At 44.8% G+C, this 14,528-nt stretch overlaps 1 protein-coding gene across 2 annotated transcripts in view, besides 3 other annotated features; it reads right to left on the bottom strand.

The window, feature by feature from the left end:
* The window catches only part of RPTOR (regulatory associated protein of MTOR complex 1), a 421,531-nt gene that overhangs the window by 220,847 nt on the left and 186,156 nt on the right, over positions 1-14,528 (bottom strand). The window lies entirely within an intron of this gene.
* Positions 1,554-1,908: a silencer, noted in NCBI's record as "fragment chr17:78717414-78717768 (GRCh37/hg19 assembly coordinates)". NCBI's record gives its function as "represses an EF-1alpha promoter that drives an FKBP-Casp9 reporter gene in an ReSE screen in phorbol 12-myristate 13-acetate-treated (for megakaryocytic differentiation) K562 erythroleukemia cells {active_cell/tissue: K562(+PMA)}" and the evidence as "EXISTENCE:reporter gene assay evidence [ECO:0000049][PMID:32094911]".
* Positions 7,978-8,027: an enhancer, noted in NCBI's record as "active region_12941". NCBI's record gives its function as "activates an Ori minimal core promoter by ATAC-STARR-seq in GM12878 lymphoblastoid cells {active_cell/tissue: GM12878}" and the evidence as "EXISTENCE:reporter gene assay evidence [ECO:0000049][PMID:35858748]".
* Positions 8,078-8,127: an enhancer, noted in NCBI's record as "active region_12940". NCBI's record gives its function as "activates an Ori minimal core promoter by ATAC-STARR-seq in GM12878 lymphoblastoid cells {active_cell/tissue: GM12878}" and the evidence as "EXISTENCE:reporter gene assay evidence [ECO:0000049][PMID:35858748]".

The raw sequence follows: 14,528 nt of genomic DNA, 5'->3' as shown, positions 1-14,528 counted from the left end.
ATATTTTTAATATATTGTTGATAGAATTATGTATATCAAATATTAGATTTTAATTTAAAAACCAAGTTGCGCCTATTGCTGGCAACTATCACATCCAGGCTGAGAGAGCAGAAGGAGCTCCTTCTGGTGGATGGAGACTTCCAAGGACGTGCAGAAGCCTCCAGCCTGCCCTTCCAAGGCTAGCTAAAGCCCCTTCATAACAACGGTTTGTCACAGTTACCCCGAGTTCCCCCAAATGAAGCATTCATTATTTCAAAGCCATTTAGCTATTAGCAACCCACAGCTTCTAAATGCTCTGTGATCATTCTACAACTCTGTGAAGATGGTCAATTAGAAATTACACTAATTTCTCTCACAGTCAACTAAAGGAGATACTGGAAATTCTTCACCCTCTATATCAAAAAGTGATTTTTAGGGGGAAGGCTTAGCTGACCAGTGGCAGGAGGGGGAGAAAGAGCTAACTCATGGCATATTCTTTGGGCAGTCTCTAGCAGAGGTGTCTAGTAGCCAGGACTGTGCTAGTAACCAAGGCTGTGCTAGTAACCAGGGCTCTGCTAGAAGCCAGGGCTCTGCTAGTAACCAGGGCTCTGCTAGTAACCAGGGCTGTGCTAGTAGCCAGGACAGTGCTAGTAGCCAGGGCTGTGCTCGTAACCAGGACAGTGCTAGTAGCCAGGACAGTGCTAGTAACCAGGGCTGTGCTAGTAGCCAGGACAGTGCTAGTAGCCAGGGCTGTGCTAGTAGCCAGGACAGTGCTAGTAGCCAGGACAGTGCTAGTAGCCAGGACAGTGCTAGTAGCCAGGACAGTGCTAGTAGCCAGGACAGTGCTAGTAGCCAGGGCTGTGCTAGTAGCCAGGGCTGTGCTCGTAACCAGGAGAGTGCTAGTAGCCAGGGCTCTGCTAGTAACCAGGGCTGTGCTAGTAACCAGGACAGTGCTAGTAGCCAGGGCTGTGCTCGTAACCAGGACAGTGCTAGTAGCCAGGGCTGTGCTAGTAGCCAGGGCTGTGCTCGTAACCAGGACAGTGCTAGTAGCCAGGGCTGTGCTAGTAACCAGGGCTGTGCTAGTAACCAGGACAGTGCTAGTAGCCAGGGCTGTGCTAGTAGCCAGGGCTGTGCTAGTAGCCAGGACAGTGCTCGTAACCAGGGCTGTGCTCGTAACCAGGACAGTGCTAGTAGCCAGGGCTGTGCTAGTAGCCAGGGCTGTGCTAGTAACCAGGGCTGTGCTAGTAGCCAGGACAGTGCTAGTAACCAGGGCTGTGCTAGTAGCCAGGACAGTGCTAGTAACCAGGGCTGTGCTAGTAGCCAGGACAGTGCTAGTAACCAGGGCTGTGCTAGTAGCCAGGATAGTGCTAGTAACCAGGGCTGTGCTAGTAACCAGGATAGTGCTAGTAGCCAGGGCTGTGCTAGTAACCAGGGCTGTGCTAGTAACCAGGGCTGTGCTCGTAACCAGGACAGTGCTAGTAGCCAGGGCTGTGCTAGTAACCAGGGCTGTGCTAGTAACCAGGGCTGTGCTAGTAACCAGGGCTGTGCTCATAACCAGGACAGTGCTAGTAGCCAGGGCTGTGCTAGTAGCCAGGGCTGTGCTAGTAACCAGGGCTCTGCTAGTAACCAGGGCTGTGCTCGTAACCAGGACAGTGCTAGTAGCCAGGGCTGTGCTAGTAGCCAGGGCTCTGCTAGTAACCAGGGCTGTGCTAGTAGCCAGGGCTCTGCTAGTAGCCAGGGCTGTGCTAGTAGCCAGGGCTCTGCTAGTAACCAGGAGAGTGCTAGTAGCCAGGGCTCTGCTAGTAGCCAGGGCTGTGCTCGTAGCCAGGACAGTGCTAGTAGCCAGGGCTGTGCTAGTAGCCAGGGCTGTGCCCTCAACCCTTGCTGCCGAGGGCAAAGTAGCAAAGTGAGTTAATTAAAGTAGCATCTGGGTTTAAATTACTACTTGGCTTTATGATTTGTTCCATGATTTCTAGCCCACGCAGGCACCTTTCCCAAGAACTGATGACCTCTTTCAGACCTGGCAATGCCCAGCACTCCGAACGCGCTGCTGGAGCTCCCCACACAAGTGGGTCACGTGTTCTCCTGCCTCTGTCACTGACATGCCTTTCCTACCTGTCTTTATGCTGGCAACTTCTTACGTTCTACGGCTCAGGTTAGACATCTCCTTCAGGCCTCCCTCGGTCCTTGTGGCTTCTTCTCTGCACGGCGGAACCTGCAAGAGCGCCCTGCCCCCTGCCAGATGGGTGCCTTCACCCCCGGAAACATTTTGTTCATCATCAGCTGCTGTGTTTCTGCTTACTTCTCTAATGAACTGAGTCATAAGAGAGAGAGCCTTGGCTAATTTCAGGAGAGAGACGGGAAGACAGGAAGGGTTCCAATTCTGTTAACAAGGAGGAGAGGGAAAGCTGGAGACACTAGTAAGAGCTGAGCATAAAGTGGGTGTTATTCCCAGTGCGCAAAGACAATCTAATAAGGCTGGATCCAGACACGTGTACTCACTCCACCTTCTAAAACAAACACCAATTAGAAAGGAACATATGTGAAGCACTAGGAATGTGCTGCGGCATGGCACCAAAAGCTGTGTGTGTGTGTGTGTATAGGTGAGTGTGTAGATGTGCATGTATGAGCATGTACCTGTGTGTATGTGTGCATGTGTGTATATGTCCATGTTTCTGTGTGCACATGTATATGTGTATGTTTATGTATGTATAGGTGGGCATGTATATATGTGTATATAGGCGTGTGCATGTGTGTATGCACATGTATACATGTGCGTGTCTATATGTGCATGTATGTGTGCGCACATGCATGTGTATGTGTGTGGGTGTGTCTATGGTGTCTATGTGTGTCTCTGTGTATATGGCTGTATGTGTATGTGCATGTGTTTATATGTGTGGACATGTATGTATATGTGCGTGTGTATGTGTGTGGCATCTATGCATGTCTATATGCATATATGTCTATGTGTGTGCATACATGTATGTAAATGTAGGTGAGTATACGTGTACATGTGTGCATGTGTTGTCTATGTGCATGTGTATGTGTACATGTCTGTATGTGCATGTGCTTATATACGTGTGTGTGTGTGTGTACCTGCTCCTCCTAAACTTGATTGTGCTGTGCGTCTGCATCCTTCCTCCAAACCTGGCCTCTGCATGCATGTGCTGCCATCCCCTTCTGGAATGACCACCGTCGATGCTCCGCCTCCAGCCAGCTCCTCCCCTTGTGTAATGGATCCTGTTCCCTTCACACCTACTTAAGGGCCGCCCTCAGGAGCTCTCTCTCCCTCCCACACATCAGCTTTTCCCTCTCTGCCAGGTTACTCCCATTAGCACAAACACATGCTCTCATAATGTCCATGTGACGAAAACAAACCTCCCTCAGGAGCTTCCACATGGCATCGCCCACCCTCTCTTGAACAGTTTAGAATCACATGAGAGCCCACCACCCTGCGTTGACACTGCTTTTGTTAAATCCAGCAATGGCCCCGTGTGCACAAATACAACGGTCCATCCTCAGTCCTCCTCGTGTGAGCCGCTCAACAGCACAGCAATCAGCTAACTGTCCCTACTTCTAGAAGGCTTTCCTGAGGCTTTTCCTGACTTCCTGATGCCACGAGTGCCTGGTTACCCTCCAACTGCCTGGCTACTTCTCTGGTCTGGTCTGTCAGTGCCTCTCCTTTTCCCAGACTCTACACACACCACCGAACGCAGGCCTCGACTGGCCTCTCCTCTCCAGCCACACGAACCACATGGGGGCTCGTCACCATCCCGTGGCTTCAGCCATTGTCTGTTCTAGGATGACACCGACCACCTTCTGATGCATTCTCAGGAAAGTAGAGCCAGGGTTTGTCCACTTGCGTGCTGCTGTATGCCCTGTCACCCTTCCTAATTTACAGGAGATGCTGAACAAACATCTCTGATAGGACCCCACACCCCACATTGCCTGAGCAGAGCTCTTGTGTCCTGCACCCCAAGACCTCCATCCACCCTCCAGCCTCATGGTCCTCCTGGCTCGGGAGACAGCTGCTCCATTCCACCCAGGCCAAAACACTGGTGTTGCCTTTAACTCCTTTTGCCTAAGTCCTCCATCTGATCCAGAGCGAATCACTCTTCCTTCACAACGAACCCCAGATGCAAACAATTGCCTTGCCAACATCTACCACCTTAGTCCAAGCACTGCCACTGCCTGCCATGGCCTCCTGCACTGCCCTCCACCTGGAGGGCCCCCACACCAGCACCACCCTCCACTCGGAAGGCCCCCACACTGCCAGGGAGGAGTGTTTTTACTCTGCTCATTAGCCAAGCCAGCAGGGGTCAGCTGAGTGCCCAGTGTGGGCCAAGCGCTATTCTAGAGTGCATGCCACTCTCCTGCTGGGTCACGGGGAGACCCTCAGTTTCACATCTTGAGAACCTTGCCAGACTATCTTCTGAAGCAGCCGTACCATTTTACATTCCCACCAGCAGTGTGCAAGGATTCCAATCTCTCCACATCCTCGTCAACACTTGTTATTACCCATCTGTTTTATTGCTGCCACCCTAGTGGCGCGAGGTAGCACCTCACTGTAGTTTTGATTTGCGTTTCCCTGATAACCAATGATGTCTTTTTCTTGTCTTATTGCACTGGCTAGAACTTCCAGTACTTCTGTTGAATAACAGTGATAAGAATGGATATCCTTGCCTTGCTTCCAATCTTAAGGGGGAAACATTCAGTCTTTTACCAGTAAGTAAAAGGACGGCTGTTAGGTTTTTACAGATTTTTTAAAAAATCAAATTGAAGTTCTTCTCTATTCTTAGTTCACTGAAAGTTTTTTTTTTGTTTGTTTTCTCTCGCATGAAAGAGTTTTCTGCATCAATTGGTAAAATCGTATGATTTTTCATCTTTAGTCTGTTGGTATGAAGTACATTAATTAATTTTTAAACATTGAACTAGACTTCTACACCCGTAAAAAAACTCACTAAGTCACAGCGTATAATTCCTTTTATAAATTGCTAGAACTGATTTGCTATTATTGTTTTGAGGATTTTGGCATCTAAGTTTGTGACAGATATTGGTTTGCTGTTTTTTATTTTTTTTGAACGGTGTGTCTGGTTTTGGCATTAGGATAATAATGGCCTCATAAAATGAGTTGAAATGTGTTCCCAACCCTTCTATCTTCTGGAAGAGCTTGTACAAAACCGGTGTTCTGCTTCTTCTTTTTAAATATTTGGCAATAGTCTCCAGTGAAACCATGTATGCCTGCAGATTTATGTTTCAGACAATTTTAAATGACAAATTCAATTTCTTTCATGATTCTATGACTATTCAGATTATCTATTGCTGAACAGATAATACTCAGAATATTCAATTGGTTGGATTTTGGTAGCTGGGGGTTTTCGAGGAATTGGTCCATTTCCTCTCAGTTGCTGAATTTAAGAGTGTAAAGTTGTTCATTATTATTTAAATGGCTGCAGGATCTGTAGAGGTTTTTCCATCTCCCTCTTGATTTTTCTATTTTGTTAGTATTGCTAGGAATGTATCCATTTTATTGATTTTTTTTCTGAGAATCAGCTTTTAATATTTCTCCATTGTTTTTCTGTTTTCAATTTTAATGATTTCTGTTATTATTTCCTTTCTTCTGACTGCTTTCAGTTTATTTTACTCTTCCAATTTCTTGAAGTAGGAATTTATATCAATAATTTGTCATCTTTCCTCTTTTCTAACATAAGATTTTAGTGCTATAAATTTCTCTTTCAATACTGATTTATCTGCATCCTATAAATACAGATATGTTGTATATTCATTTTCATCTAACTCTATGTATTTTTTTTTAATTTCCCTTGAGGCTTCTGACCCATTATTTAGAAATACGTTGTTTAATTTTTTTCACAGTTTTTTCTCGTGTTTATTGACGTGTAGCTGATTCTCTTGTGGTTAAAGAACACACGCTGTGCTGTTTAAAACTTGTTGAGGTTTATTTTATGACCCAGGATGTGACCGACCTTGATGAATGCCGCATGGACGCTGGAAAAGTGTGTGTATTGGCTGCTGCTGGAGGGAGTATCCTGTAAATCCCACTGTGATACTTAACAGCTGACACTTCAACACAGGTGATCACTTCAAGAAAAGATGGCCTAACTTCTTTTCTGATCTCTATGCCTGTTTCCTGCCCTTGCCTTCTGCGCAGACGGACTTATCGTGTGATGCTGGAGAGGATGGGTGAGAATGAACACCTCTTCCGTGTTTCTGACCTCAGTGTTCAGTGAAAGCACTTACTTCCCACTTGCCCCTCTCCTCTCATGAGGCTCCACCTTCAGCCAGAAACTCCACTGCCCTGTGCCACCAGGATCCTTTGTGAAAGACATCTGCCTCCGCGTCGGGGCGGGGCGAGCCCCTCGGCCTCCGTGGTGGCGGCAGAGGTGTTCCCGCGACAGCAAGCAGGGCCAGGCAGATGGGTCCTGCTGGGATCACAGTGCCCCAGTCTGCAACCCATGGTGCTGGCCATCATCTGTGGTCCAGAATATCAAGCAATTTCAGACAATACTTTAAAATAGATGAAATTAGAAACAAAAAAAAGGTTAAACTCTAAGAATTTTTGGGAAAGCTCCCAGTTTTATGACAACTGCAAACAGTGTATCGTTTTCATGAATTATGGCTAATCAAGTTTTCTTTGTTTCTTCTCACATTTCATACAAATCAATTGAAGATCAAATATATTTAATGCATCATGGATACATCTAAAGAAGACAACTAAAGGTAGTTTATTCAAATATGTATTTATCAAGCCAAATCTATAGATCCTTCCTGAGCATCAATTTAACGTGAGGCATTCTTGACAGGTTTACATAACAAATGTAAAGTAAGCTTATGACAGTAGAAGAGAGGCTACAAGACAACACATGATTGTCAAGGCCGCTGTGTAGGAGATTGCCGTATGTGGTCAGCCAAGGAAGATTTCAGGCTGGGGGAAGCATTTGTGAAGAAAGGGGAACTTCAGTTGCACCCTGGAAGCTGCCTGTGCTAATGACACGTGTCTGTGAAATTCATTTAAGGTCATCAGCGGTAAGGGTTCTTAAATTTTTTATGCAGAGAAATCACTTTTCTTTTTACTGAAGCCTCCAAATTCTAGGACTCGGAGTTACGAAAGGTGCCAACAAAAAAGACCTTTATCTCCCCGTGCAAACCACAGAAAGGGATGGTGCATGGGCACAGAGAAGCAGCAAAAGCTTTGGCGGCCACATTCAGCTCAGCTGCGCAGACTAAAGATGGATGAAACGGCACAAATGTCCCACCAACTGTGAAATGTCACACAAACCAAAGGCGAGGGTGTCCACAGGCTGAGGCCTGCCAGGTACACGGGGCCGGGCTGGGCATCTCCTGCTGCCTGCTCCCCCTGGGGCTGCCCTCCCAGCACCCACTGGCAGGCGTGGACCTCATCCTCCATGGGCCTGTGTTTCCCCCCATTTCTCCCGTGACCTATTTCCTTTCTGGTTGGCAAGTCAGCTCGCCAGCCCACTCCAAGGGCCAGCCCTGCCCCCCCACCCTCTTAACCTCTCACAGTGGCTTCATTCTCCCCAGCGGGGCTTTGGGGATGGCCGTTCTGTGGATTCCAATTAAAGGGGTTTCTACTGTATGTTTTGGACGAACTCCCCTTCTGCTATAGACAGTGGAAATGGCAGCATTTCTGCTAAATGAAAAATGCACTTCTCCTTGGTCATTGTGGTGGTGGTGGAGTGAGTGTGGCGGGGGGGCGGGGGAGAAAAAGAGAGAGAAAGAATGAATATATGTGCTTCAACTATATTACACATTTCTTAACACCAGGGAGCAGATATTCTAATGTTTTGAAAACCTTCACAAGTATGGGTTCTTACAGCTTACTATAAATAAAGTATAAGGTACGCAAAACTGACTTTGGCCAACTTTTGTTAAAAAAGAGGAACTGAAAGTGTCCAGAGCACATGCAGAGAAGGGAAGTGGAAGGCAGCCCCCATGCCCAAGCCTGGAGTGGTGCGGGCTGGAAGGCACAGATTACCTGAAGACCTGCCATCAGGACAGCCGGCGTCTCACCTGTGTGCCTGAAGCCAGGTGTTCTGCAATGATCCTCCACCACCGCCCCCCTGCCGGAAAGCACTCAGGCTGGTGGTGGGTTTTTTTCCTCTAAAGAGAGTTACTGACATATCTGGGGAAAATTAAAGGCAGCTGGTGTAGTCATTTAGAGCCCAGAGAAATAAAGACCTCGGCATGGGGGCATCCATGAGTCCCCAGCGCAGCAGCCAGCGCCCCCTACTTCCCATCGAGCAAGGCCCTCTAGCCAACGCCTCCTGTCACAGACACGCAGTGATGGGCAGCTTCTCTTCATTCTTAAATATGACAAACAATAAAATCACCACATACCTCCAGTATGACAGAGAATAATCTAAATTAACCAAAGGAAAAAAAATTATGCTGGAGGAAACAGAGACAACTTAGAAAAGGGGAAAGCATCTTCTTCAAACCTAAAAATTAATATCACTTGAAAATTAATAAAGTTGTGACCTAACACATGTCAGCTCACGTCCCTACTGCCTACAAATGACAAAACTATGAGATTACAGGGGAAAGCACTTATGAAAATCATTGCTTGAAAGAGAAATACAGGCGAGCCTGAGCTCCTGTGGAATCGGCACCGCAGATCCCTCCTCTGAATCACAAATGCCATGACGACGGTGAGTCCGTGGAGAAGATTTGCAAACTCACACACACAAATTCCAATTTAGGAAACAGTGATTAAGAAACACACCTGTTGAGAGGTACCCAAAGAACTAACTGATGGTATTCAGCAATCACTACAACCACAACCTTCAGCAGGAGAACTGCCTTTTGCTGCAGAATTCCATGCCAGCCAAGCAGTGTGCCTGTCTACAAGAGTAGCAAAGAAATGAAGAAGATTTCAGAACATGAGTACTTTAGATCTGTGAGATATGCATTTAATATTTTTGAGGAAACTTGAAGATTCTAGACGTTAGTCATTTTTGGCAGAATTACAATATTTATTTGACATAAAATTTAGCTACGGGGATCAGTGCAGGAGGCCAATGTATCACCTATCAGTTTAAGTATAGGTTTTCACATTGGTAGGGGCGGGGGGCGGTTAAGTCACTGCAGCCTTGGGGAGGCTGTGGACCCAAGCAAGCTTCTCGCTGTGGCAGTGAGTGACCGTCGGACAGGTTTCTGTGCTTTGGGAGTGTACTGCTACAGGTGGCAGGACTGGACCACACAATTGTGTTTAGAGACACCACACAAACACGAGTTACTCGGAAGCATCCTGAGAAAAGCCTTGCAGAGTGCGGGGGAATAGTGGAGAAGTGAATTGTGCCCATGATCCATGGGCTGAACTTTTTTTTTTTTTAAGAGATGGGGTCTCACTCTATTGCCTAGGCTGAGGTGCAGTGGCACAATCACGGCTCACTGCAGCCTCCAGCTCTGAGCTCAAGCGACCCTTCCACCTTGGTCTCCAGAGTAGCTGGGATGACACATGCGTGCCACTACAGCTGGCTAACTTTTGTATTTTTTGTAGAGATGGGGTTTCGCTATGCTGCCCAGGCTGGTCTTGAACTCCTGAACTCAAGCCATCTGCCCACCTTGGCCTTCCAAAGTGCTGGGATTACAGGCGTGAGCCACCGCACCGGCCAGGGCTGAACTTTCATACAAGACTCTTCTGACACACAGCAACCTGCTCTCCAGGAAGTCATTCTCAGGCTATTTCCATGGCTCCCACCAAAAACTTGCCTATGCTCCAGCCCTAAACCAAAAGCAGATGGCTATGTGCAGAACAAGACTTACTGGGGCAGTGGAGCCCGTGCTGTCCCAGCAGAAGAAAGGCATTATTATCTTTACCGCCTGCCCAACTCGCTACTGGCCTCCCATTAAAAAGAGGAGAAACTCGCCTAGATTTGACTCCGGGCTTGACTGCCGTCTTCAGTGACGGTGAGCTGTGACTGCCCTTGAGAAATATCCTCTAGAAGAAACTGACGGACAAGACTTCATGGGCTCCGTTTCCAAGAGCATCTGTTTCTTTAAGACTTCACCTTCCTTTCTAGTTTACAGGCTAAGGATTTAGTATCCAGATAAAAGTTGTTAAAAAACATTTGAATTCTCTTTTTTTCTCTCTCTCCAACTCAGTCAATACATATACTGTGTACGATGACTATAAATATTCCTCTTATGGCATTTATCTGGATGGAGGTGGCAGACTTATCAAGAACATCTACTCATCCACTGCAAGGAGTAACAGGGCTACCACTGGAAGAGTGAAAATTGCCTAAAATTCCATATCTACACTATCGATAATGGATGTGGTTAGAATGATGACATTACCCAGGTAATGTGGCTGATGGTCCTCATTGGATCATCTCACAGCCACCCCCAAGTCCACTCCCTTTAGTCACCCCTCAACCACACCTGGGGTGCTACGTGACCTGGCTCTGGCCAACTCGGTCTAAAGCGAAGTCTGCTTGTTGCAGTCATCCCTCAATATCCACAGGGCATTGGTTCCTAGACCCCCATGGATGCCAAAATCTGCCAATGCACAGATATAAAATGGTGTGGTGCTTGCATATAACCCACACACAGACTTTGGTGTGCTTCAAATCATCTCTACTTATAACATCTACTACCATGTGAATGCTGTAAACGTAGTTGTTATACTATATTGTTTAGGGAACAATGGTGAGAAGAAGTGTACATGTCCAGTACAATGCAATTTTTTTTCCCCGAATGTCTTGGAGCCACAGTTAGTTGACTCCAAGGATGTGGAAGCCACAGATACAGAGGGCGGGCTGTTCTTCCTTATAAAGAGACAGCTGTGGCCAGCACTGCCCCTTCCCCATTTCCTCCTGCCTCCCAAGCAGATGAAACACCTGCAGATGTGGTGGGCATATTGCAAACATGAGGATAAAGCCAGTCGGCTAAGGATGCCTGGTCCCCAGTGGCACTGCTGAAAAGTCATCATTTGCCTCAGAGACCTTATTAGTGAAAAAGACAAACTGCTATTTGATTAAAACCCAGTAATGAGATTTTTCATTACTTCCACTGCTTCAAATACTGATGGTCTCAGACTGCCAAACATCCTTTCTTAGGGCAGTGCTTGAGGATTTCCCCTAGGAGAACAAAGGAGAAAATCGAGAGAGGGGAAGAAGTGGGATCTAGACACAGGGACGGATCCTGGAGAATTACAAAGGGGAGCCAGCTGACGCCGGGGAGCAGGCCACAGGCACGATCGGCTGAGCGAGGCAGGAGAGCTTGGAAGATGTGAGGGGAGAGGGCGCCTTCTGTGCTCTCCGCTCTCCTTGTGGATCTATCAGTGGAGGAAGTGGTAACGATAGGTAATTCAAGAAGAAAAGAGGAAATGTCCAGGAAAAGCAAACAAACGAAAACAGTTATAAAAATGGAAATCACAGTACTCTAGCCACTGAGCGAGCAATATTTATGTGGTCATAATCAGGTACAAGGTTTAATGCTTGTCTTCCTATAGAATCAATCTCCACTCAAGCACAGAGGTGTTAATCGTGGTCAGAGAACGAAAGACAATCACAGAAAGTGCAGATAACAGAAGCTGTAAAAGAAAAAAGGCAGAAGAAAGTACAAGGAAGCTAAGAGCCTTGAAAATGGAAGAAATGAGCTATTACTGATAAAACTAGAAATAAAAGCATAAGGATATTACTTGAAACCACAAAGTTTACAAAGTATAAAGAAACCCAATAGAGTGAATAAGAGGGAACGCAAGAAGGCGTCGTGAGTGACGCAGCCTCTTCAATCTAGAATTTTCTCTTTAGAATTCACTACTGAATACAAATAACACATAGGAATTTAAACCAGCATGTAATCTACACATAATTGACTTCTTTGCTAACAGGCTTCCACATCGTTTCTCCCTTCTTTAAACAGAACTTAATGGCAGCTCTGTTCTTGGTTTGTACCCTAAGACAAAGCCCACTGATAATCTAAAAACGACAAATCAAGAAGCAGTGGTCTCAGCATGTCATCTACAGGGAAGGAGACACCCTCCAGAAGAACTAGAAATGGAAACAGGGGAAGGAGGTGCCTTTGGTCATAGAGTCTCAGCAGAGAAAGCGTGGGGCCAGGGACTACTTTATTCATCATAAACCTTCTGTATTATTTGATTTTTCAAACCATGGCATATACTAATTTGGTAAAATATACTTATTTATAAAAGAAGACTGAAAGCGGAGAGACTTGAATATTATCCTTAATTTTTAAATTACAAAGAAATATGACACAATAAAAATATAAGAAGGATTACTGAGTGACAGATATGTCATTTTCCGGCTCTGATGGTTTGAAGTGTGTGCAATACTGTATCTGTGCTTTGATGAAGTCGTCTTCTACTCTACCTACAGCACTCCTCTGAGAGAGAAGTAAACAATAAATAAACCTCCTGGTCCCAGGACAAGCACTGTGCCACTAAGAATATGAAAGCTGATCACCATCTCTTAAAATTTATGTCACTCATATTTGTGTTAATGTTTATTATTTGGAGGCTTTCTGGTCCAAATAACCATTTTCTTGCATTATATTTAATCAATTGTTTATTTTTTAAACCCTGGAACAAATCATTCACCTGTCAATTTCTTTCAGCTCACATGTTATACAATAAAAAGTATTAAAACATATTGTAAATTTACAAAGAATTTGACCAGCTGTAAAGAGGCAAAGAATATTTTAAAAGAAAAACCCTAACAGGCTACACAGGATTGCTGTTTCTCTAGCAGATAGTGAAATTACTAAAATGAACATTAAGCTATTAGCTAGGAGCTAATTTTATCATTTTAATTTCCACTGTTTTTATAAGAGACCAAGTGAACAATAGCCAATAATAGTAAGTGTAATAGAAACACACAAGACTGATCTACATTGTAATTAAAGAACGAAGATAAAAATCAGAGCTAATTAAAGACATACGGTATCGCATTGCCTTGCCATCTATTCGCCAACTCAGTTAACATATTTTTCATCTGATCTCTTTCATGTGGAATGAGTCAAACATTTTTTTTTCCTAAAAAAGATGCATGGGAATCTTTTCTGTTACACTTGATGAAATGAACAGTGTCTTAGGCTGATTAATCCCTGGCAACACACAGAGAGCACACACAGCACTGCCGGAGCACATGCTCAAAGCGCTGGAATGCAAGCATTTGGTATTATGCATGAGCTGGAGGTGCTGGTCTTCTGCTGAAAGGGGAGCGGGTCTCTATTTAACATGTTTTAATTAACTGAGGCTGATGTATTGGTCTTTCCCTTAACCACTCTCCAGCCCATAAATCTGGTGTAGAACTCAGGCAGGATTCTTTGGCATTTTTATTTACATATTATAAATGTAAAAAAATCACCTTTTTTTTGCGATATTTATTACTTGATGCAAGGAAAAATAAATTACCTCTCAATGCTTTGAGTTTCTTAATGCTCATTAGATAACCTATCCCCTGGGTAAACCAAGATGAAATGCCTGAAAGCAAGGGAAAAATCTGATGATACAAACCTTGATCTTTCTTTCCCTTATCATAGAAAACAAAACAAACAAACTTGTTGCATGTGGATCCTTTTTCATGGATAAACCACATTATACTTATCAGTCACTCTTTTGCGGTGTTCCACATAAAGAATTAATAATTATAAAATATTCAACTGTACACATGTTAATGTGAAAATCTACCAAACAGAATTTCAAATTTTGTTACTGATTGTTTCAGCATTTTTCTATGATGAAATGTGAAAACATAATACATTAAAATTGAATATATTCAAAAAGGCTTGAGGAAACATACTCAAGATCATTTTTGCTCCTAAATTGAGAATTTCCTATACTGCAACCAGTAGAACTCATGACCCCCTTGAGGCTGCAGAATATTTCATTCTGACACTCTTGTGCAGGCCACAAGATGGAGGCCTCTTAATCGAAACTGCCTCTTCAATTTGTCCTCAGAATTCACTGTTTAATTCAAACATCAAATATTAATTAAAACAACCAAGCAAAATGTCTCTTCATTAGCAGAGCGGTGCACAGGCTTTCCGCTTTTTGAAGTGGGCGCTACAACAGTAGCTGTTTTCGTTTGTTTTCTATCATTTTAGCTTAGTGGTTTTCGGGGATTTTTTTTTTTTTAACACAACAGAAAAAGAAACCGGGGCAGGAACAAAGGCACTGGTGGAACTGAAGCTGTGGGTCCATTTCTCCTAAAATAAATGTGTCTGCTTTATTTTCACATTTATCTTGGAGGCAGAGACTGCTGGGGCACAAATCGACCCTATGAATGTTATCAATTAATGTTTGGATTAAAAATGACACTGAGTAAAATGAGATGTAAAAATAAGTCTGTAGGTTTGTACTGGGCCGGGCTCAGTGCTCAAGCCTGTAATCCCAGAACTTTGCAGGCTGAGGCACACGCGTTGCTTGAGCCCAGGAGTTTGAGACCAGGCTGAGAAACATGGCGAAACACCACCTCTACAAAAACTACAAAAATTAGCTAGGCATGGTGGCGTGGCGTGCACCTGTAGTCTCAGCTACTCAGGAG

Source organism: Homo sapiens, chromosome 17 (assembly GCF_000001405.40).
Source record: "Homo sapiens chromosome 17, GRCh38.p14 Primary Assembly".
NCBI classification, from domain to species: Eukaryota; Metazoa; Chordata; class Mammalia; order Primates; family Hominidae; genus Homo; species Homo sapiens.
Note: the sequence above shows the minus strand (reverse complement) of the source record. Positions and strands in the feature narration are given on the sequence as shown.